Source organism: Homo sapiens, chromosome 11 (assembly GCF_000001405.40).
Source record: "Homo sapiens chromosome 11, GRCh38.p14 Primary Assembly".
Lineage (NCBI taxonomy): Eukaryota > Metazoa > Chordata > Mammalia > Primates > Hominidae > Homo > Homo sapiens.
The window spans coordinates 104,670,930-104,697,264 of NC_000011.10; the positions used below are offsets into that span (position 1 = coordinate 104,670,930).

The window sequence follows — 26,335 nt, forward strand, 5'->3', positions numbered from 1 at the left end:
CACTTGATAAGTGTTTCAAACCCAAATTTGTATCCAATAGAAAAGATACTCAGGGAGCCCCTACATGGGAGACATAAAAAGGAGAAGAAAATATATTTTAAATAATTTGACACCATATCCAAAACAGTTGAATTTGGGAACTAGTGAGACAGTATCTGGAGACTGGATATTCTGCTTCTGTCTAGCTTATAGGAATTTTGAAACAGTACCACTCTCAACCTCATAAAGAGAGAAACCTATATGAGTTACAGAATCACAAAGCCAGTGTGAGCTAGCATGGCAGTATAGAATTCCTGGGATTTCCTAACACAAGTGTTGTTTATACTTACTTCCAGACTCTTTTTTATGACCCTGAGAAACGACACTGAGTACACATAATAAGACTAAAGGTAAGGTGGGAGATCAGAGAGGTGCAGAAGTAGAAGAGGATGTGGAGGCTTTATATTGTATCACCTTGGCCAGAGTAAATTACATTTCCTTGAATTACTGTTACTGTTTCCAGTTAAAGAGGGTGGCAAGAGGTATTATTAGGAGACTAAGAGAGAGGAAGAAAGTCAGCAGTCGTTTTGCAGCTCACCCACATTATTATTAGGCTAATTTACCTTTGCAGCAGGAAGTTTCCTTATTTTTCCCTGCATCCTTCAGCTTCTCTGACCCTGGGCTAGGTGTGTACTTAGCTTTGGGAAGAATGGCCCAGCTTCTGTAGGACACTCAAATCATCAAGTTCAAAAGCAACAAAAATGGACAGGGTTTTAGTTTATCCTATTGAGACTCTGGACTGTGGTTGGGATTCCAACATGTTCTTGATCTCTCTACTTTTCATCCGTCTTCCCTTCCCAACTGCTTGGCTGATAGATTTCCAGCTCCAGCATTTGATGCAAAGACAAAATCTCCCACAATGGATTAAGGTCACATTCCTGTAATGAATCTGGATTTATGTATTTGTGGTTCTATTTCTCTGTTTGAACCCTGATAGATACAGGAGGGACCAGTCTGTATTTCAGGAAAAGCATGAAACCCCACCCCTTGCACGTTGTATTCTCTCATATGGAACTAAGTGAGGGGCATAAAACCATGTCATATACAGGGGAAAAATAGGTATTGCTGCTGAGGAAAAGGTAGGATAAAGAACCCCTCTCACCTCAGAAAGACAGTTTGAGCTCTCCTACTGGGGAGAAATAGAAAACTCTTTCAGAAAAGCTCCACCATAGATACAAAACAAGATTTGCCTGCCTTAGGGAAAAGCAGCAAGAATTCCAAAAATTCCCTAATTCTAAGACCCAGACACATGTAGCTCATTTAAGATTGTGGTTGGACAATAACACACAGACCTCTTCAGCCTCTCACCACTAACCTTCCAAGCTTTTATTACATAGTAAATGGAATCTATTGCTCTTGGAGGGACAGAGCTTCAAGAGAGAATCCTATGTGGCACAGATGTTCAGGGCTAGCTAAAAGCTGAAGGTGGACCACAAAAAACCCAAACCTATTAGCTCCCCAGCTCCCAGTGCAAGAAAATCTTTAGTGAAATTTGAAGCCTACATTGCAGTGAAGGTAACCATAGCAATCACAAACCCAAACTCAGCTCAAATCCTGACAAGATTGACTTAACACTCCTACAAACTGCATATAGAATAGTATTTGCAGGTGTTAATACTGTTTGCTTCAGTCTGTATTCTTCTACACATTATATAAGGTATTTGATTTCAAAAATTATAAAATTCAAATAAAGGAAGATAAAATAACCATTTTTTATAGAGAAAGAATTCAAAAAAACTCAGGGAGTATATTATAGTGGCTACATTGAAATAGGAATTTTATACTCCCTATAGTTAATATTTTTAAAGGATTTAGTTAAAAAATGGACAGCATATATGTATAGATTGAGAAGTTCTGTATGATAATAGAAACAATTTGACTAGGTAAAATTTTAATATAATAAATAAAAAAGATCACAGATGCAAAAACCCTTAGTCTCATGAGTAGATTCAACAGAATCAAAGAAGAAATTAGCAAGCTTGAAGAAATATTTTTTTAATTAACCAAGTTGAAATACAAAGAGAAAAGCTTATTAAAATTGGCCACAGTGTATGGATCTATAAAACAATGCTGAGAAGGCAGCCAGACAATAGACACTACCAATTCAAAATTATAACAGACTATTTGTCAGAAACTATGCAAGACAGAAGACAATGGAGTGACACCTTTAAACTGTTGAAAGGAAAAAGCAAACACACAATACAAACAAATAAGCAAAACCTGTTAACCTAGAATTCTATACCAGTGAAGATATCTTTGAAACATTAAAGTGGAAATTTAAATTTATTCAGACAAACAAGAGCTGAGAAAATGTAATACACCATAAGAAATATTCAACGTATTTCTTCAGACAGAATGAACTTGTGGTAAGTTACATATGTTTATTGGATACCACAGAGCAATCACTAAAATTTAAAAAAAAAAAGGAAAATGTGGTATAACAAATAAGCTAAGAGTGGACATAAAATGGAATCACTAATAAATTTATGTTAATCACAAATCATAAAAAAAATTGAAGAAAAAAGCAAAGGTCAGAAGGAACAAATATCAAGCAACTAGGAGTGTAGTGCATTTTAATAAAAATTACATCAATTATATTAAATGTAAATGGTATTCAGTATCATCAAAAGATAATTTTTTAAAATAAAAAAGAAACAATTGTATGCTAATGATAAGAAATGTGCTTTAAATATTTTAAATATAAAGACAGGTGAAAGGTAAAATAATGAGGAAAGATATACCTTGCAAAATATTAATATTGAACCAAGTAGACTTTGGAAGAAGGAATTCTACCAAGCAGAAAAGTTATGGTACATAATAATAAAGAAATTAATTTACTAAGAATTATATAACAACCCTAAATATCTGTGCATGTAGCAATCACACATCAAAGTGCATGCAGCAAAACTATTAGAACTGACAGAAAAAATCTACAAGCCCTCAATTACTGTTGTATATTTCAGCATTAATTTCTCAACAGTTAATAAAACAGACAAAGAGAAAAATCACTGAGAATACAGAAGACCAAACAATACTATGAAATGCCTTGACCTAATTGACATTTATAGAATAGTTCACCCTAAACAGCAGAAAATATATTCTTTCTAAGCACACATGGAATATTCATTTAGACGGGCCATATCCTTGTCCATAAAATAAATTTTCACAAAGTATAAAGAATCAAAATCATGTAAAGTACTTTTGTGAGCAAAATGGAATTAAGATAGGAATTAATAAAAACATACATTGATAACTCTCAAATATTTGAAAATTAAACAACATTTTTACATAGCCTGTGAGTCATAGAGAAAATCAAAAGGGAAAATAGAAAATATTTTAGATTCAATTATATTGAAAATGAAACATATAAAAAAAATTACAGCACATACTCAAAACAGTGCCAAGAAGGAAATATACCATTACATTCTATATCAGAAAACAAGAAAGATCTCAGTGATCTAGTCTTTCACCATGAGAAAGTAGAAAAGAAGTGAAACCTAAATGCCAAGCAAGTGTTAAGAAAAAAAAATACAGTTAAATGCAAGAATCAATGAAATAGAAAATAAAAAACAATAGAGCAAATCAATAAAACAAAAAGTAGGTTCTGATAGGAGCAGTGACCCTTATACATTTGCAGCCAAACTGAAAAAAGAGAAGGCAAAACAAACATTATTAGTAATGAAAATAAAATGTCACTACTGACATTAAAATTATGCTAAGCAAGAGTGTAATTGAATTGTTTGTAACTCAAAGGATAAATGCTTGAGGTGACGGATATCCTATTCTCCATAATGTGCTTATTTCACATTGCATGCCTTTATCAAAACATCATGTCTACTCCATAAATGTATGTACTATGTACCCACAAACATTAAAATTTCAAAAATTATACTAAGTGAAAGTTGTAAAGAATTGCATTCCAGAAAATTTGACAATTTTGATAAAATGCATAAATTACTTGGAAAGCAAAGGCTTTCCAGCTACATCCATGTTGCTGCAAAGAAACACGTCTACAAAAGATTTTGTTCTCTTTTATGGCTGCATAGTATTCCATGGTGTGTATGTATCACATTTTCTTTATCCAATCCACCATTGATGGCCACCTAAGTTGATTCCATGTCTTTGTTATTGTGAGTCACACAGTGATGAACATACAAGTGCATGTGTCTTTACAGTGAATGGCTTCTGCACAGCATAATAAACTGTCAACAGAGTATACAGACAACCTACAGAATGGAAGAAAATACTAGCAAACTGCATCTGACGAAGGTTTAATATACAGAATCTATAAGGAACTTAAACAAATCAACAAGCAAAAATCAAATACTCCCCTTAAAAAATGGGCAAAGGACATGAACAGATACTTCTCAAAAGAAAACATATAAGCGGCCAACAAACATAAGAAAAAATAGTCATCACTAATCATCAGAGCAACGCAAATCAAAACCACAGTGAGATACCATCTCACACCAGACAAAATGGCTATTATGAAAAAGTCAACATATGTATACATGTGCCATGCTGGTGCGCTGCACCCACTAACGTGTCATCTAGCATTAGGTATATCTCCCAATGCTATCCCTCCCCCCTCCCCCGACCCCACCACAGTCCCCAGAGTGTGATATTCCCCTTCCTGTGTCCAAGTGATCTCATTGTTCAATTCCCACCTATGAGTGAGAATATGCGGTGTTTGGTTTTTTGTTCTTGCGATAGTTTACTGAGAATGATGGTTTCCAATTTCATCCATGTCCCTACAAAGGACATGAACTCATCATTTTTTATGGCTGCATAGTATTCCACGGTGTATATGTGCCACATTTTCTTAATCCAGTCTATCATTGTTGGACATTTGGGTTGGTTCCAAGTCTTTGCTATTGTGAATAGTGCCGCAATAAACATACGTGTGCATGTGTCTTTATAGCAGCATGATTTATAGTCCTTTGGGTATATACCCAGTAATGGGATGGCTGGGTCAAATGGTATTTCTAGTTCTAGATCCCTGAGGAATCGCCACACTGACTTCCACAATGGTTGAACTAGTTTACAGTCCCACCAACAGTGTAAAAGTGTTCCTATTTCTCCACATCCTCTCCAGCACCTGTTGTTTCCTGACTTTTTAATGATTGCCATTCTAACTGGTGTGAGATGATATCTCATAGTGGTTTTGATTTGCATTTCTCTGATGGCCAGTGATGATGAGCATTTCTTCATGTGTTTTTTGGCTGCATAAATGTCTTCTTTTGAGAAGTGTCTGTTCATGTCCTTCGCCCACTTTTTGATGGGGTTGTTTGTTTTTTTCTTGTAAATTTGTTTGAGTTCATTGTAGATTCTGGATATTAGCCCTTTGTCAGATGAGTAGGTTGCGAAAATTTTTTCCCATGTTGTAGGTTGCCTGTTCACTCTGATGGTAGTTTCTTTTGCTGTGCAGAAGCTCTTTAGTTTAATTAGATCCCATTTGTCAATTTTGGCTTTTGTTGCCATTGCTTTTGGTGTTTTGGACATGAAGTCCTTGCCCACGCCTATGTCCTGAATGGTAATGCCTAGGTTTTCTTCTAGGGTTTTTATGGTTTTAGGTCTAACGTTTAAATCTTTAATCCATCTTGAATTGATTTTTGTATAAGGTGTAAGGAAGGGATCCAGTTTCAGCTTTCTACATATGGCTAGCCAGTTTTCCCAGCACCATTTATTAAATAGGGAATCCTTTCCCCATTGCTTGTTTTTCTCAGGTTTGTCAAAGATCAGATAGTTGTAGATATGTGGCATTATTTCTGAGGGCTCTGTTCTGTTCCATTGATCTATATCTCTGTTTTGGTACCAGTACCATGCTGTTTTGGTTACTGTAGCCTTGTAGTATAGTTTGAAGTCAGGTAGTGTGAGAAAAGCAAGTGCTGGAAATTTTGTATGCTAATATTTCAGTTTAAAAATGGATATACGGGTGTTGGGGTGTGTGTGTGTGTGTGTGTGTGTGTGTGTGTGTGTGTGCCTGTGAATGAGTGCACGTGTTTGTATGGACAGACTATCTGTAGCTGCCTTGGGAAAGAATATATAGGCCACTGGGTCAAAATTGGAGGGTACTTTTTTTCTTTTCAAAAGATTATTATTATTAAATATAATATTCATGCAGAAAAACATATGAAACAAATATTCACCTTAACTAATCATTTGAAGCAAATACCAACCTAATTACCACCACAATCTGGAAATAGAACATGGCCAGCTCCCTGGCCGGAAGCCTTACTCATGCCTCTTTCCCTCCCTCCCTGCAACGCCCCTGGTCAAGGAAGCCACTATTCTGCCTCAGATGGTGAGCACTTCCTCACTTTGCTTTCAAGTTTTATCACCTACAAATGTACCCCTCTATACTATATGCTTTTGCTTTTCCTGTCTTAAAACTTCATATAAATTGAAATAAACACAACAAATTCTTTGGTGTCTAAAAAAAAAAAAAAAAAAAAAAAAAGAAAAAGTCAAGCAGGCTGGGCATGGTGGCTCACGCCTGTAAACCCAACACTTTGGGAGGGCGAGGCAGGTGGATCACTTGAAATCAGGAGTTCAAGACCAGCCTGGCCAACATAGTGAAATCCGGTCTCTACTAAAAATACCAACATTAGCCAGGCATGGTGGTGCACACCTGTAATCCCAGCTACTCGGGAGGCTGAGGCAGGAGAAACACTTGAAGCTGGGAGCAGAGCTTGCAGTGAGCAGAGACTGTGCCACTGCACTCCAGTCTGGGCAACAGAGTGAGTAAGACTCCATCTCAAAAAAATAAAAAACTTAAAAAAATTTTTAAGTCAAACCATAACAGGTGCTGGTGAGGTTGTGAAGAAAAGGGAACGCTTATACATTGTTGATGGCAAGGTAAATTAGTCTAGCCACTATGGAAACCAGTTTGGAGATTTCTCAAAGAACTTAAAAGAGAACTACTATTTGCCCCAGCAGTCCATTACGGAGTATGTGCCCAAAGAAAATTAATCATTCTCCATATTTAGAACGGCCTTCCTGAAACCCTGTACCCCTTACATTCCTAACTCATATGTGCCTGAGATTGATTACTGCCTATAATTTTGACATGCCCAGTCTACTGCAAAAGTTAGCATCATGCTGCACTGGTCATATTTTCATTGATCTTTCTAATGGGGATGTAGATGAAAGGACAATTCAAAATGATGTGTAAGAAGATGGGCAAAGAACCAAGAGGTAGATGGGTGTGGGAGTACCAAAACAATTTATCAGATAATTCATGTGTCATTTTGGAGGCTGCCAAGTTTTTTGTTGTTGTTGTTGTTGTTTGTTTTTGTTTTTTGTTTTTTACTAGCAACATTTGAACATTTGAATTAGTGGAAATGGTTAATTAATTCTGAATATTAGAGAGGATTCAGAGACCAAGAAACTGATTCAGAGTCACCTACAATAATGTGATAATTGCAGCAGTATTTCTAGACAAATAAATGTAAGAAAATATATGTAGAGAGACAAAGGTGATTTTGAAGATTGAAAGAGTAGAAAGGGCGTGGGAGTCATATAGAAATGGTGAAGAAGTACATGAGCCAAGCTAGTGTATGGAAAGCAAGGGAAGTCTGCTAATGAATCATTGCTACCATTTATTGAAATGTAGGTGTGGCCAACTTAACAATGTTAAGCACTGTGATAAATGCTCTCTAATGCATGAGGGCATTTAATTTAAATCTTAAAGGAAACTATGTGAAGTCGATTGTACTCTGACTTCCATTTAATACAGTTAAAAGACCTGGCTTAGGATGGTGAATGATAAAATCACACAACTAGGAAGTAGCACAGTTATGATTCAAACTCATTTTTTTTCCTGCTATAGTGGCTAAGCTTTAAAACTACAATGCTATGCTGTTTCTTAACAATGGCAAGCCCTGAAGACACTGAGAAAAGCCATGGTCAACTTCAAGAGAGTTTTTCTCAAGTTGGCACCGAGGAAAGAAATCAGATTGAATGCTGATATAATAATTCAGTGTTGCAGAACATAATATACTGAATAACACAGTATGTTCTGGGGTCAAACACCCTGATTCAAAACCCACCTCCCCCACTAATTAACTACATGACTTTGGACAAATGAATGTCTTTAAGTTTCTTTAAATTTCTCCTCTGTAAAATGAGGTTAATTGGCAGCATCAAACTATAAGATGAATGGTGACTATGAAATCAATTAAAACAGGAAATCATGCTGGCACCTAGCAAACCTAATGGATTGTAAACTACTTATTTGAGAGTGAGGAGGTTACAATGCTGAAAAGAGGAGGTACAAAAAAAAAACAAAAAAAAACGCCCATTTAAAGAAACCATATATTCAAGCGAACTTTTTTTATTGGCTATTTTTTTAAAGTATAGATGTCATCTAAAATATAACTGTAAACAAATAGAAAAAATATCAATAGAAAATAAAAAGTAGAGTAAAGATTTGAAAGGAGGAGTAACAGGAATTTGTGGGTGATGAAACAGAATGCAATCTTTATTGAGGAGGCCTGGCAGTATGAGATGGATGGCCCAGGAAAATAATTGCTCTTGGAAGGATGGAAGTTGAATTTGGAAAAATAAACAGCTTTTTTTTTCTGAAACAGGAAAAAATTTAGGATAGCTGATGGCTCAGAGTGTTTTGAATATAATATAGACATATGGATAATTTGGGGGCAAATAACAGAGCTAAGCTTGCAAATAATCTAATTATTTTAGAAAAGTAGGCTGTGGGATAGTCAGCTGGGTGTGAAGAGTTGCTTTGGAGCAGCTCTTTGAATGAAAGCTTCTTCTATTTGCAGTGAAAGTCAATTTGTAGTTATTAGGAATGTAATTCCAGGTAGCTTTGGGATCCTCATTATAAGCTTCCTTAAAACTGCTTTGATTGGATCGCACAGAAGTAACTGCTCTACAAAAAAAAATAGCCCTTCTATAAAAATCCATTCTCCGGAGGAACCAGCCCCATCTGTCAGCCAGTTGTAGCCTTAAACTTACCATCCACTTTTGTAGGAGTCTTCTAAGTTTTTTCTTTCTTTCTTTCTAATTTGATATTTCAAAATTATAGAGAAGTTATGGGAATGAAACAAGAAATTCCTATATACCTGCCTAGATTCACCAACGATTTACCTTTCGTCATTTGTTTTCCTTCTCTTTTTCTCTTTTATTTCACACAAAACATGTATATATAAGAATTTTAAAAACAATTTCAGAGTAAGAGGAAGTTGGAGACATAACGGCCCTTACATTTAGATGCAAATACTTTTGCATCTATTTCCTAAGGTTAAAGAGACACCCTTTATAAAACTAAAGAACAGTTATCAAAATTAGGAATCTAAACATTCCATATGCAAATTTTATTGGTTCTCACAATAATGTGTTTATAGCTTGACTTTTCTTTCTATAAGATGTATGGTGACTATTACATCAGTTAAAACACGAAATCATGCTGGCACCTAGCAAACACAATGGCTCAAAAACTACTTATTTGGGAGTGAGGAGGTTACAGTGCTGAACACAGGAGGTATCAAAAAAAAAAAAAAGGCCATTCAGAGAAACAATATATTCAAGTTATTGGCTATTATCTTTTTAAGTCTAGAAGTCATCTAAAATATAGATGTAAACAAAAAGTATCAATAGAAAATAAAAATATAGAGTAAAGGTTCAAAAGGAGGAGTAACAGGAATTTGTTACTGGGCTCCAACCCATGATCACAATGAGGATTTCATTGTCTTTAGTGCTTTTACATCTGGAGAAATTCTTGAACTTTGTTTTTGTTCCTTGATCTGAACTTTTAGAAGAATGTCTTTTATTTTCTTTTTGGAAGAATATTCCTTAGTTTAGAGTTGCTTATCGTAATTAGATTATGAGGAAAACTCATATCAGGAGCATGGTGTCAGTTCATCCCAATATCGGCCATGCTAGCTTTGGTCATTTTAGTTATAATGATATTACCACACTAACAAAAATGTGGGAAGATGTTTTGATGTAATAGAAATTTCTGATTCTCATCAAATTTCCTGGTACAAGTTTCAGCATCAATTGACATATTTTAAATTCCACTGTTTTTTCTATATTTATTAGTTGACATCCTATTATAAGGAAGAGCTTTCCCTTCCCCTCTATAAATTAATTAATTTTTATATCAGTATGGACTCGATTTTTATTTTACTCAACAGTTTATAATTTATTACCTCATTACTTATTATATTGCCTAAATTATCCCAGATTTGTTCGGTGGCAGTCCTTTCAAGACGGTTTCAGTGTCTTTTTGCCATGACCCTGGATTCTTTGTGCACTATCTTACTACCTTACTTTTTTGCATAAGATGATCCAGGCTCATCTAAAACTTTTCCTTCCCCAGCCCTGGAATCAGGCACTTCTTCAAGGAGCTTTGGTTCTATTTCATGTTGAATGGTGTGTATGAAACAATATCTGATTCCGAAGTGTGCTCATTACTATGGGTGTGCTTCTGAGCCTTCTGATATGAGAGAACTAACATCTAGAGTTATTTTATACCTTCCTATATATCCATAATTTTGTAATGATATATAGTGATAGTTCTAATTTTGATTCAACAGGAGTGTGTACATTGTAGTCATTGCTATTTCAATATTTCTCCCTCCTCAACAGTGAGGAAATTGACTTCCATTATTCTCAATGCATTTGTCCATTTACCCACAGGGTTTAGCTTTTCTAACCCATACCACTGTGAAAAACAAACTTGCTAAAAAAAATCAATATTTATATACAACTAGTTTTATGAGGCAAAATTGACATACAGTGAAATGCACATCTTAAATTTATAATTCAGTAAATTTTTTAGTTAGAATTTTAGAGTTTAGAGGTAAATTGCACCTCTGTAGCCCACATCCCTGCCAAAATACAGAATAATTTTATCACTCAGAAAGATGCCTTATATATTTTGTGACTCATTTCCTCCTAAAAGTAATTAATCTTCTAATTTCCCATCATAGAGTAGTTTTGCCTATATTAGAATATTATATATATGAGATCAAATAACATGTGTTCTTTTATGACTAACTTCTTTCATTCAACATATTGACTGTGAGGTTCACTGATGTAATTGTACATATCAGTACATCATTTTTTACTTCATTAAAATACTGAGTTTTATTTCACATGTATATTTTTGTCTCCCCACCATTTCCATGTCTGACCACTGTTACTACTATATTTTATCATAACATTCCATACAGACATAAAACCAAGCAAAGGGTGGAGTTCCATTTTTAAAAGCTAAACAGGCATTTTGGACAACACATTCTTGGCAATGGAACCTGGACAATATTGATCAAACACTATAGGGAAAGTTCTCACTCCGCATTATAAAAAGGACAGCCAGATATCTACTGTTGTAGAAATGAAATAAGACAGAAAAAAATTAACAAATTGTTTAAACTATTTTCTTAAGGAGACTTCCTCCACTGCCAGAGATCTTGAACAACCTCCTATTCCCAGTCATCTGGAAGCAATTCTTCACATAATTGATGAACTTGCCTTCCACTTTGGGAAGAGAACCACCCTTTTCTATATACTTGCTTGCATTTTTGTTTTAATGTCTTCTACAAAACTAGGACCTTTTGGTGTTTCAGGAGTTTTTTCCTGTTTTATTGTACATTGTTCTTTTTATTCCTGAATAGTATTTCATAGAATGAATATACTAATTTTTTGTTTATTTTATCTATGTTTATAGGCATTTATATTTGCTGGTTAATGTGAATTAAGCTGCCATGAATTGTATATAAGTTTTTTTTTTTCCTTTTTAAGACAGGATTTTACTCTGTAGCCCAGGCTGGAGTGCAGTGGCACAATCATGGCTCACTGCAGCCTTAGCCTCCTAGTCTCAAGCAATCCTCCCACCTCAACTTCCCAAGTAGAGTAACTGGGACCACATGCATGCATTACCATCCCCAGCTAATTTTTTTTTTTTTTTTTTTTTGAGAGACAGAGTCCGTCTATGTTGCCCAAGCTGGTCTTAAATCCTATACTCAAGTGATCCTCCCACCTCAGCCCCAAATTGCTGGAATTACAGGTGTAAGCCCCTACACCTGGTCTTATATAAGTTTTTTGTGAACAATTTTGTATTTCCCTGTGTAAGTATCTATACATGTAATTATTGGGTCATAATCAGATAAATATTTATAAGAAGCTACCATTTCCCATAGTGGTTGTATTATTTTATACTATTACCAGTAATTATGGAAATCCTGATTTTAATTTTTCTAGTGTATGTGCAGTGGCACCATGTACTTTTAATTTAAATTTCCCTGAAAACTAATAATGTTGAGAACTTCTTTATTTATTAGTGACTATTTTTTATATCTTTCTTTGTGCAGTATTTGTTCAAGTCTTTGTCTTTTTCTTATTTCTTTTCCAAATTGTAGGAATAGTTTATATTCTAGATTAAAGTTTTTTTGAGATATGACTGAACAATATTCTCTCCAAGTCTTTGCCTTGTCTGTTATTAATATCTTTAGATGAGAAGTTTTTCATTTTGACAAAGTCAATTTTATCAATTTTTTTCAGTTATTGGCTTCTGTATCTTATCTAATAAACATTTGTTAACCCAAAGTAGCAAAAATATTCTTCTGTGTTTTCTTTTAGAATCTTTATTGTTTTGGCTTTTATATTTAAATCTATGATCCATCTCAAATTAATTTTGTGTATGGTATGTGATAGGGTCAAGGGTTTCCTTCCTTTCCTTTTTCACTTATGGCTATCCAGATGTTCCAGCACTATTTATTGAAAGTAATTTTCTTTCATAATTCAGTGGACTGAATGCCTTTGCTAACAATCAAATATCCACATATATGTTGGTGTATTTCAGAATCATAGTTTTGTTTAATTCATCAGTTTTACTCTCTTAAAGCCAATATAACATTTTCTTTATTATTGCTTCTCTAATTATGAAGCAAAGTCATACATTCTAAGTGCTCCACTTTTATTAATTTGTTCCAGGTTTTTTTATCTACTCTAAATTTTTTGCACCTTCACACAAATATTTAAATCAACCTGTTAATTTTTGTTACAAAATCCTTCTATAATTTTAATTGAGATTATCTTGAATCTATAGATTGATGGGGGAAAATTGATATCTTAACAATATTGAATATTCTGATCCAAAAATATAGTATCTCTCCATTAATTTATTTCTTCTTTATTTTGTTTTGATGATTTACACAGTATAGAGATTTTGAACATCTCATTAATTTTAGATTGTTTTTGAAGCTATTTTGCATAACATTAATTTTACTTTTTATATATTTGCTGCTAGTAATTAGAAATAAAATTGATTTTTCCTGTGATATGCTGAATTCATTTATTGACCCAAGTAGTTGTTTTATATATTCCTTAGGATTTATTGTATGATCAATCCTGTCATTTGTACATAGCAAGATTTTATTTCTTCTTAAATAAACTTTAAGCTTTTAATTTCTTTTTCTTGCCCAGTTACAGTAGATAGAATGACCAAGTTCAATGCTGAACAGAATCACTGAGTGCAAACATCTTAACTTTGTTCCAGGCATTAGTGGGGTGTGTTCAATATTTCACTAATGGTTACTTCTGTTGGGTGTACTTCTTTAATTCCCTTTATAGAACCTCAAACTTCCTTCATTCTGCCTAGTTTCTCAGGCCTTTTCTTCTTTCATCTTTTTTTTTTCTTTTTTAATCTTGAGTACTGGATTTGGTCAAATTCATTTTTTTTGCCTCTATTGAGTTGATCATGTGTTCTTCACTTTTATTCTGTAAATGTCTGACTTACTTTGAATGATTTTCTGTGTTAAACAAACTTGCATTTTTTTGGAATTCTTATAAACTCTACCTTCTAATGCTGAACTACCCCTTGTATACTATTGCATTTATTGCATGTAGTTATTAATATTTTCTTAAGAATGTTTAGATCTATTTTTTAGAGAATTTGGTCCAAATTTTTAATTTCTTATAATGTCTTATCAAGTTTCAATATCCAGCTTATGCCAGTCATACCAGACCAGTTAGGATGTTTTCCTTTTTCCTGTGCAGACCAGAATATGCCACCTCACATTGTGCCATCTTGGTATGAGGGTTATTTTAAGCTGAAGGCAATTGAAAAGAAGCAGATTACAAGCAAAGCTCTCTGGTGTCTCCTAATTGACTAAAAGCAGAACACAAATTTACAAAGACAAAGGTGTCCCTCCAGCCTTCTCTCCCAAGAACAAAAACTGAACCTGAAGACAACTTTAGAAGCTTATCACCCTGGAGGTGACACCAGAGGAATCTACATAACAAACTTTACTAACACTACTTTATCTACTATTTATTTGCCTTCGCACAATTTGCCATGCCTTAGAGACCCAAAGTCCTTTTCCTTCTCCTTGTCATTTCTCAAAAAATGCACTGTTCTTTATTGAAGATGCTATATAAGCATTAATTCAAAGTCATCTCTTTCAGAATTACTCATTCTCTGGCTGTCTCCCATGTATACATGAGATATACATGTTACACTCATATTTGTTTTTCTCTTATTAATCTGTCTTTTGTTAGAGGGGTCTGCTTCAGCTGAGAACTGAGTATAGGGAAAATTATTTTCCTCCCCTATATCTGCATATTCTGAAAGAATATACATGAAAGATTATTATGTCTAGTTGGTATGTTTTTTAAATATTAGCATTCACTAGTAAAACCAACTGATCTTCGCGTTTTCTTTTGGGGAAGGTTTTTGATAATTTAATATTTGTGAGTGTGTGTGTGTGTGTGTGTGTGTGTGTCTGTGTGTGTGTGTTTGTATACATAAGCCTAGGCCAACTATTATATCTTTTTAAGTTGGTTTTAAAAATAATTTGTTTATATAATTTTAGTGGTCAAATTCATTGACATAAAATTACTTAAGCCATTCTTTATTCTAAGACAATAGGAACTGCAGTAATATATCCTTCTTCATTCCTGATATTGGTAATCTGTTTTCTTCCCCTAGAAGAGAAATGATAAATGCTACATAGGTATGTCAACATTTTTATTCTTAATATTTGCTTAGTGTATCTCTTTCCTTATTTTTACTTTAAACTGAAATTGTATTCATGTTTAAAATTCATCTCATAGAAAATATAATGTTATTTATTTATTTTTTTTGAGACAGTGTTCACTCTGTCACCCAGGGTGGAATAAGTTTCCTTTTAAATTTGGGTGCTAAATGAATTTACATTTAATGTAATGTAGATAAGCATAATTTGAAATACCAGTATTTTAAATTGGTCCCATATAATCTTGGATTTGGCATTCTTTTTGTGTCTTCTTTTTCATTAACTGAATGTATTTGTATTATTTTATTTTAATTTCTCTATTGTTTTTTCAAATATACCTCTTTGCATTATCTTTTAAAATAGTTGCTCTAAGGATTAAAATATACTTCCTTAATTTTTCATACTCTGCTAAGATGTTACATCGTATTGCCTCGTGTAAAGCTTGTAATGGATTAATTCTATTTACCTACTATCCTTTGTGTTAGTTCTGTCATTTATATTATTGAGTTCCTTCCGCAATTTTCCTGCTATTTCCATGCTACATTTTTTGATATAAAAATAGCTGTAGAATTGGGGAATAAAATATAAATAGCCAAAGGCAGATACCGACATTCATCCTCTGCTCTTAGTATTCATCTGATACCTGAAAAAAAGGGGAGAATCTCTTTCTCAGCATATAAGAAGGATAAATTTTGGTAGGATGTTTAAAAATATAAACAATACCAATGGAATAAATGTGTTAGAGTGAAAGGAACAAAGCATTTGGGAAGTTGCCTAACTCTAAATCTTGTAACTTTAATTTGTAGAAATATTATATTGAGAATTAATAACAATAAACCTTCCTTGCTTTCTCTCTCCCTATCTTCTTTTCTTTCTTTCCTTTGTCCTTTCTTTTTTCCTCTTTCCTTTATTTACTTCCTTCTTTTCAGCCTTTCCTCTATTCACAAACATTCCTTGTACCGCTACTATATCTTAGGCACTGGGGACAGTCTTCAGCCTCACTTCTTTGTCTGTAAGGGGTTTGAATAAATATCTCATTATGTTCTTACAGAGATTAAATTAGAGGAGAAAATATGTGTGTCGTGAAAATTATAGTCCTTATATTTGGTGACTAATCAGTCAATGATATTGGTCATAATTATTTAGGAAATGTTAATTCTCTCCCACCCTCCATGCAGTAAATTATGTGGGGTTTACTTTGCTAACTAATTCTCTAGGCAATTGTTCTTTGCATTGTCATTCAAAGGTTCAGGAGTTTTTGCAATAGCCTGGAAATATCAAAGCTTTAAAACCAGTAACCTCATTCCAATTTCAATCTTAAAATCCAAGTTGTTTAAAGGCACCAATATTATATTCCACAAATAACAGAGCTCCAGATGCTTGACTGCCAAGCAACTCTACTATTTTATTCATATTTATTCTTATGCATTCACTATATACTGTGTGTATCACTCATCCTAGTTTTGGTAATGATTTTCAGAAGGATTTCAATATCTCAAATTTGCAGAACATCGATATTTAAATGCATCTAGCTATATATACAGGCAATCAAGCATGACTAACATAATACTTGTATTAAACCTGCTGCCAGCAAAATTTTTACCAACCCAAAATTTCCTTACAGTTCTTCATATAATGAATTTTAGTCCCCACATGAAATCAGAAACATTTTATACTCATGTTTTCCAGAAGGCAGACAAAAACAATCTGAAAGAAATTCCTAAATAGATTAACCTATGAAACCCAGGCATATTCCAGGCAGGAAGGCCTAGGCTTAAAATAAGACTAGTCAATATGCTTGCCTATTAGACCAAAAAAAGAAAAAAGAAAACAGCTGATTATTTGCAGTTTGCTTTTCCATATTCTCTATAGAAACCAACTGTTTATGTGGTAGGAAAAAAAAAATGAGATCAAAGAAATCACTCTCAAGATTTGATCCACTCAAATATGTCACCTTATTTTCTTTGCAGTAAAGGTAGTCGTTATTAATCAAACACATTGTTATGTGGAAAACAGGTTTGATAATGTGAATTTTCCTAACTGCATCTTCATATTTATATTAGGTTCCTAGGGCCACCATAACAAAATACTGTCAAGTGGGTGACTTAAAACAATAGAAATTTATACTCTCACAGTTTGGAGGCCAGAAGTCTGATATCAAGGTGTCAGGAAGACTATGTTTCCTGTGAGAGTCTGGTAAAATCTTTCTTTGCCTCTTCCTAGCTTCTGGTAGTGGCTGGCAATCCTTGCCATTTCTAAGCTTGCTTGCATGTAATTTCCATCTCTTCCTCTGTCTTTACACAGCATCCTACCTGTGAGTCTGTGTCTTTATCTGTTTTCTCTTTTTATGAGGGCAACAATCATTGCATTAGGAATCACCCTAATTGATTATGACTTAATCTTAACATAATTACATCTCTAAAGATCCTATTTTTAAATAAAGTCAAATTTACAGGTGTGGGGGTCACATTTACAACTTCAACATATCTTTTTGGTGGACACAATTAAACACACAAAAATAGTCAGCCCAGTTTTATTTTTGCGGGGCGGGGGTGGGGAAATGAATGCCTGATGCTGAGAATCAGGTATTTAGGATGAATTAAGTATCTGGGAAGGACAATGTATCACTCAAAAATTTTGTAAAAATATATTTTCACAACAATTTAAACTGATTTCCAATGTATTTTAATACACACATGTGATATTTAATAATATGCTGCCCATCAGAACACCCTTGTCTCAGACAAGGAGGTTTGGTTTACTAGTTAGGTTCAATGTATTCAGTTTACTATATTTACTTGGCATCTCAGAATCACAGAGCCATTCCCTTAGGTCTCTGTTCAAAAGGGAACTTGTCGTAGCTCCTTCCTGGGTTTTCTGACTCATTAATTTCACTTCACCTAGGAAATGTTCTTTATTCTTCTTGGGAGTTTAAATGTAAGGATTGCGCTCTGCTAAAAATTCCCTTTGAGACGTGATGAAACTGAAAATATTTCTAGGGCTATGTTACAACATTAGCCTGCCATCAGAGTTACTTTTCTCTAGTTCCCATTAAGCAGTGTGTAAGTAAAAGAGAAGATACTCGAATATTCTCTTGAAGATGTAATAAACATCTTCCTTTTTGTGAGTTAGTAATTGTTTTTTAATCTATCATCCCCTTGCCAAATGTTATCTATTTTTCAAATTTAATTTTCTTGGTAATAGGCAGTTATTGCAGAACTCTTATTAAAATATGTAGAGTTATCTTAACAAAGTGCTGATAATTCACATGATGGTCCTGGGATGTTTTGATGAGCTTCATTTTTTAATATTATATTTCAATGTTTCTTCATAGACTTAGCATGAAAGTGTTAAGTATTTAAATGCTGCTTAGGCTTGTTACTTTACAGGGTGTGGGTATGCAAAGATGAGCAGAATATGCAGAATGTCTGGCTTATCTGAATTTTCAGGAGAAGTATTAGAAGATACAATTTTATTTCAGTGGAGCATAATCATAGACAAAACATCCTGATAGATTTACTAATGTTCAGGGTGTTCAGAACTAGGCAAAATCTGATCAGAAATTTTTAGACTGAGAAAAATGTTCTCACTCATTTTTAAACTAGAGTATGAAGTGAGAATTTTCTTTGTGCACTAAACTTGCAAAATTATTAATACATTGTATGTGAGATAACTATCAGTAAATTCCAGTTGTATTGTGGAGTGTTAAAATGTGAATGAGCTATTTTAAAAAACCACCAGATTTAACCACTAGTTTCTGTATTTTTGTGTTCTAGCTTTTCATGATGAAGTTGATGCCTAGAATACAGCAAATGTCACAGAGCAATTAGCGCAGAGAATAGAATAAAATTCAGGTTCTTTGTTGTCAGGTTCAGGCATTTTGGGACTCTATCATCCTATCTTTGAATTATATAATGCCATATATAGTACCATCTGTCTATTCCTTCCAAATCCGCTTAAATATCTTTCTGGTAGCATTCTACCAAAAATAATTATTTCAATGATTTTGGTAATTCTTTTCAATTTTATTCTTAAATTGCTGGCTATTTTCACTTTTTATTTTTTATTTTGGAATATGAAGTTTCATTATGTGCTAGTTTATTTCCAAAGAATATGTCTTTGATGGCAAGCAGTAAATAAATTCCATCATGCTGAATATTATGATTTTTGTGGTTTGCACTACACACATAAAAATCCCTTATATCCATGTCTTAAATTAAAAAATTGTACTTATGGAGACGTGAATTTAAAACATAATAAAAATATTAAAGTGGCTATATTCATGCTGCAGAATTGCCTATTTGTGCCAACAGATTACTCTTCCAGATTTACTTGTTTTTTGGGTACAGAAATAGGAAAACATCCACATACACGGGTTATCAGATGAATGAGATAGAGCCTAAGAATATGTTGAAATTTCCGTGTTTAACCAGATCAGTGTTACTAATATTAGGATTTAATAAGATACAAAGACATAGCAGATGCTTCTATTTAACAAAGACATGTGGTGCTCTCTGACCAAATCCAGATGTGTTCATAGAGCTTGTAGTGAAATTATAAAGTCACCAATTGTACTTACAATTTTAGAGTAAGTAAATAAAGACAGTGTCCTAATATTCTTTCCCCAAAATCTACCAGGTGCCTAGATAGTTATAAATATTTTTATGAACCAAAATGAATTACAAAGTGAAAAAAATTGCCTCTAAGTTGGGGGATATAAAAAGTCAGAGATGATATGACTTATACGATTATTTTAAAACCTGGTTAAATCATACACGCTCTCCATAAACAAAGTTACAGTACAGTAAGATAAAGAGATTTACATTTTCCAGAGGTGGAACTATGTGCAAAGATGAGGACAGGGTTAGTAGAATTGGGTGATTCGAGGTAGCCACCATAAAAGTATTTAAAGTAGAGACTGGCAAACTTTTTCTGAATAGGTGAGAAAATACTTTAGGCATTGCAGTCTCTTTGAAAAATGGTCATCTGGCTGGGCACGGTGGCTCATGCCTATAATCCCAGCACTTTGGGAGGACAAGGTGGGAGGGTCACTTGAGGCCAGGAGTTCGAGACGAGCCTGGCCAACATGATGAAACCTCATCTCTACTAAAAATACAAAAATTAGTTGAGGTGGTGGCACACACCTGCAATCCTGGCTACTCATGAGGCTGAGGCAGGAGAATCACATGAGCCTGAGAGGTGAAGGCTGCAGTGAGCCGAGATCACACTGCACTCTAGCCTGGGTGACAGAGCAAGACTCTGTTAAAAAAAAAAAAAAAATTACCAACTCTTGCCATCATGGTGTGGAAACAGCCACTAATACACAAATAAGCATGACTGTGTTTCAATAAAACTTTATTGACAAAAACACTCAGTGTGACGTTTTTGGAATGTAGGCTGTAGTTTGGTGACTCAGCCCTGCAATACATAATATAGTAGAAATACCAGGGAACTCAATGTCAGAAAATATTGTTACAAGTACATACTCTTTAGTAGGTTTTTTATTTTTACTTTTATTTCTTGTTAATACCTTGGCCAGGCATGTTATCTTTCTGAAACTCTCTTCTTAACTCATTGCAATATAGTCACTGGAGGACAGGATTGCTGTACAGATAAAGTGAGATAACATAGACATCCTGGTAAAAAAGAACACACAATTTTAAAAATTTTATTTCATTACACACTCCACTAAAATGACAGTAGATGGAAAGGAAAATATAAATTCCCAAGGTCAAAAATGGGAAGAGAGAATAGAGAGAAGATACCAGATACAAGACTCATCAACAAAAGTTTTGAATTTGGAAAGCTGAGATATGGGTAGAAACTGCTTTATTAGATTTAAGAAAGCTGAACATTAAGTATCTCAGAAGCAAAACTAATAAGAAGCAAGCTGAGTTGTCCTCCCAAAACTTCAGAAAGATTTTAGAATTGATGGCAGATAATACATTTCAAGGTGAGGATATTAGATGATGCTAAACCCAGAAAAATTTGTACATGAGGCATTTAAACTGCCAGATCCCACATACCAGCCAGGAGAGCCACCATTTTCTATTGTTTCTCTATGCCAACAGATGGGAGAGTCAGTTTTTCAAAAAAAAATTTTGACTTGGTGCGGTGGCTCACGCCTGTAATCCCAGCCCTTTGGGAGGCCTAGGTTGGCGGATCACCTGAGGTCAGGAGTTCGAGACCAGCCAGGGTAACATGGTCAAACCCTGTCTCTGATAAAAATATATTAAAAAAAAAAACAAAAAAAAACAGGCATGGTGTTGGGCACCAGTAATCTCAGCCACTTGGGAGGCTGAGGAAGAATTGCTTGATCCTGGGAGATGGAATTTGCAGTGAGTTGAGATCATGCCATTGCACCCCAACCTAGGCAACAAGAGCGAAATTCCATCTCAAAAAATAATAATAATAATCAAAATGAAAATAAAATAATAATTTCAACTTTTATTTTAGATTCAAAGGGTACATGTGCAGGTTTGTTATACGTGTATGTTGTATGCTACTGAGGTTTGGGATAAAGATGGTCCCATCGCCCAGGTAGTGAGCATAGTATCTAATAAGTTGTTTCTCAGCCCATGCCCCGCTTCTTTCTTCCTGTCCCCAGTGTCCGTTGCTGCCATTTTTAATGGTCATATGTAGTCAATGTTTAGCTTCCACTTACGAGTGAGAACATGTGATACTTGGTTTTCTGTTCCCACATTAATTCACTTAGAATCATGGCCTCCAGCTGCATCCTTGTTGCTGCAAAGGACATGAGTTTGTCCTTTTTATGGCTGTGTAGTATTCCATGTTGAATATGTACCACATTTTCTGTATGCAATCCAATGTGATAGGTAATCTTTATATGTGTTGATGCAATAGTCATTGAGCTTAAGGATACTAGTCAGACAATATGGGTATTTAGATTTACTGAATACAAACAGGCTTAAGTAAATTTCGAATTCTGAATGGTTATCACCTCTCAGCTGCTTCCCCTAATTCATCAAGATGCTGATAATAGTCAGGCTTATAAGTTTTGTAAAAAGTGATTCATCTAAAAGAAATAAACCTTTCTATATTGATAGATAAGACAAGGTCATGTACTTACCTTATCTCCAGTTCAACAAACACATCTTTCTAGTGTCTCACTTTTAAAATGAGCAGTCAAAATGATCAGGTATTAAAAAAACAACTCTAACATGAATGACTAAGACCAAAACAAATAAAAAGACTGAAACGATTTAGAGAAATAGAGATCACACACATGTGTAGGGAAAAAAACTGCAAAAGGTGTAATTATATCATCAGAGAGAGAAAATATTTTATTCATAAAACAAGGAGAGAATGCTATTATAAAAAGTAATATTCAGAGACCAAAAAAGGATCATAGGGACATTAAAAATATGACAGTAGAAATTTAAAAATTCAACATAATGACTGAAGCACAAGTGCACAGTAATTCTAGAGATATGCTTCTCAAATTGCATTGTGCATAGAATCACTTGGAGAATTTGATTAAAGGCACATTTCTGGAGTGGGACCTGAAACTGTACATTGCCAACAAGTTTGCAGATGATGCTAATGTTGCCAGTCTCAGGCACTCTGAGAAGAAAGGCTCGATAGAGTATCAAGTAAACAAAATAGATAACAAATAAGAGAGAAAATAAGAAAATAAGGTATAAATTTTGGGGATTTTATACCTGTCCAAGAGCACATCCAGAAAGAGAAAGAAAGGGTGAATTGGAGAGGAAAATAAAATTTTAAAGACTGAGGAAAATTTTCCAGAATATGAGTTTCCAAATGAAAAAGCCACTAACTGTCTGGCACAGTAAGTAAAAAGTTTTCTACACCAAGGCATGTAATAAAAAAAATTCAGAGTACTATGTAGAGAAAAAGGAAGATCGTAAAAAGTTCCAAAATTCAATCAGTCACACACACCTCAAACACACACACACAAACACACAAATGTGCACAGACACACACACACATACCTTACAGGAAACTTTTTAAAAAATCAAACAGCAGGTAGCAGATATTGCAGCTGTTTTTTTCAAATCTGTCACTGAAAACCACTGTATCTAGCCTGATTCACAATCCAGTATGACAGAATAATAATTATGTCTTTATATATGCATGGCATTCAAGTATTATGGAGTAAAGAATTTAAAGAAGTTTCATGTATTTTTTTTCTCAGATGGATATTTGTCACCCAAAGCATAAACTTCCCAGAATCCAGGAAGCAGGAGATATGACAAAAATGAGAGACAAATGGCATTTCTAGATGGTAATTATGATGGGGTCAAGATTGACAGTTATTTAACAGGCCTAGAAATTAGCCAATACAGATTGAGGCAGGGAACACACAGGTTCAGGAAAAATGTTTCTGAGAATGAAAAGGGCCACTGAGTTACAGGAGCCGCAGAGAGAGTCTCAGGCCAGGCCACCAGGAGCTCCGCAAATGAATGAGAAACCCTAATTGACTTACCAGGGTTGAAGTATTTCCTGTTTGAAGGACAGAAGAGCGATAGCTACTGGTAATGTAATTGCCAGTGGGTTCTTTCTGCGCACTGCACAGACAAGATGCATTGACACCATGGCATTGTAGTAGAGAGTTTAATTGACACGAGACTGGCCACACAGGAGAATCAGGCATTTTACTCAAATCAGTCTTCCCAAAGTCTTTGAGCTCAGGGTTTTTATGTACAATTTCATGGGTAGGAGGCTAGGCAGTGAATGCTGCTGATTGGTTGGAAATGAAATCATAGGGGCATGGAAAAAAATCCTTATGTGCTGAGTCTGCCTCTGCGTAAGGCCACAGGACCAGTTGAGTCATGAATCATGGGCCTGAGTTGGGTCAGTCTGAAAAATATTTAAAAAAAAAACTTGGCTGTTACAATAGTGATGTTATCAATAGAAGCAATTAAGGAAGTCATAAATCTTGTGACCTTTGGCGACATGACTCCTGAGCAGTAAGAGATTATAGAAACTACAGAAACATTTTAGCAGAGTTTGGGTCCCTTCCATGATCTCATTCTTGTGGTCTTTTCTTAATCTTACAAAGGTGGTTTTCAGTCCCTGAGCAAGGAGGGAGTTAGTTTTAGGGGGAGACTATTATCATTTTTGCTTTCAAGTTAAACTATAATCTAAATCCTTCACAAAGTTAGATTGGCCTATGCCAAGAATGGGCAAGGAAAGCTTGGAAGTCAGAAGCAAGATAAGATGTCAGATTTCACTAATTGTCATAGTTTTCCAAGGCAATATTAATCAGGTTTCTACATAACTCATGGTTACTATTACACAAGAATGGATATTTCAAAAACCAGAATGAGGAAATGTGAATGGAGGACTTTTTAATATTCAAAAGATCCCAGAGAAACTATGAGACCTGCCCTATCCCTATAGAGTGGGTTTCAATGACCAGTGGGAGAAAATAAAGTTAATTTCTACATCCTACAACTCCCACTATTTAATGTAAAGAGTACAGAATAATTTTCATGGGCTAAAAAGACTTTTGCAAGGACCTTGATACATTTTGGGGTTGCTGGACAGAAGCTAGAAAAATACGTCTGGGTCATTGGGAGGAAATGAAGTAGGCATTCTATTTGATGCCAGATTTTGGAGAAACTGCTGCCATACTTCATAAAAGGGCTGTATCCCTTTTACCATCTTTACTTTTGAAAAGTTTTGAAATAAAGGGAACAGAATTGAAATAAGGCTACATCATGATAATCTCAAAAGGACTCTCCATCATCACCACTCACCCCTCACTCCTGAAACAACTAATACAAGTTTGAAACAAAACAAAACAAAACAAAACACTTTTTAATACATTGTGTAGCCAACTTGGAAATTTATTACCCCAAGAGGAGCTCCAATTTTAAAGTAGCAGTTAGAGATTTCTGTTGTTTGGGGTTTTGTTTTGTTTTTTTCCTTTATCTAGCCATAAGAGGTGATACAGGTAAGTAGAATATTCTGGGGACCAAAAAGTTGATGTCATGATTATAATGATCCTTCCATATATACTTCTCTTGATACCATTTCCTGCATTATTAGATAAGAGATCCAAATAGGGCTGTATGATTGGTGTCCATATTAACACACATAATGAAGCAGAACTTTCATAGAAGATACAGAGGACTTTAAATTATTTGAACAGCCACATATTCCCTTACTTATTCAACAGAAATATTGGGTATTTACTATGTGTCAAGCACCCTGCTAACCACTAGTAAAAATATAAAGTTTATATAAGCTTGGGATTTTGTTAAGACTAGCAATGTTGACATAAATTGAAATATAGAGAAATATAAAAGACATATACTTGAAAACCAACTAGTGGATGAAATAAAATGATAAATGACACATAGTTACATAAATACTATACTTAAATATTTATATTATACATACAACTTCCCTTTCATTCTCACCAGAGTCAATCAGTAGATCTGAAGAAAATCCTACAGGGAGACCTAGCCTTCTCTGCCTTGAGGACACGTAGATCTTTCTCCAGAAAAAGATGATCTCACATCTGCAATTGCGACCCTCTTCTGATGCCTCTTGGAAGTGCAGACATTCAACAATTACAATGCGGATTACGTAAACCTAAATGAAACCTTTTGAAAAACTTCTAAAATATATTTCCAGGAGACAATTAAGGGAAAGACATAATAATCTCTTCAGCCCTGCCTACAGCCAGAAAGATTTCCTTGAGTTTCTTTATAGCCCTTTCTTATGATGTTCATGGCGCTTCTCTTCTCTACATCTGAAGCGTTCTTTAATGTTTGCTCTTGTCTATTTCTGTTGCTTCAATGCCATTTCAAACTACCCCTTCATGTGAATTACCACAATAGCCTCTTATTAGCCTCCAACTACTAGTCCCCTCATACTGCTTTCATTAAGTCAAGTGAATAGTCTAAACATTAGAAAAAATATCAAAAATGATAAGATAATTTCTGATCGTATCATTCCACTACTGAAATTGACTGGTCTATTTAATTAAACCTATCTTCTCAGGTGGTCTTCAAAGCTCTAGGATTAAGATATCAGCTCTATCTAATTCCCTACTACTTCGATAACAATATTCTCTGTTGCAACTACTAACAACTCAGTGTTTATTGAACATACTGAACTCTCCTTACCATTAATAGCCTTCTCTCCAATTAGAATTTCTTTAATCCTACTGTGACAGATTGTATTTCCCAAAGATGGCCTCAACATCCTATATGCTTTTCTGCAATGTGTTCTTGCAACTCCTCCACCGAGCAGTGGAGTCTATTTCATCACATCCTAGAACATAGACAATTTTTAAC

At 34.5% G+C, this 26,335-nt stretch overlaps 1 long non-coding RNA gene across 1 annotated transcript; it reads left to right on the forward strand.

Moving 5' to 3' along the window:
- The first annotated feature begins 206 nt into the window (after positions 1-206).
- Positions 207-26,335, forward strand: LOC105369466 (uncharacterized). The gene is made up of 3 exons (XR_947965.3): positions 207-389; positions 23,221-23,310; positions 25,457-26,335. It is a non-coding gene; the product is annotated as an uncharacterized LOC105369466 (long non-coding RNA).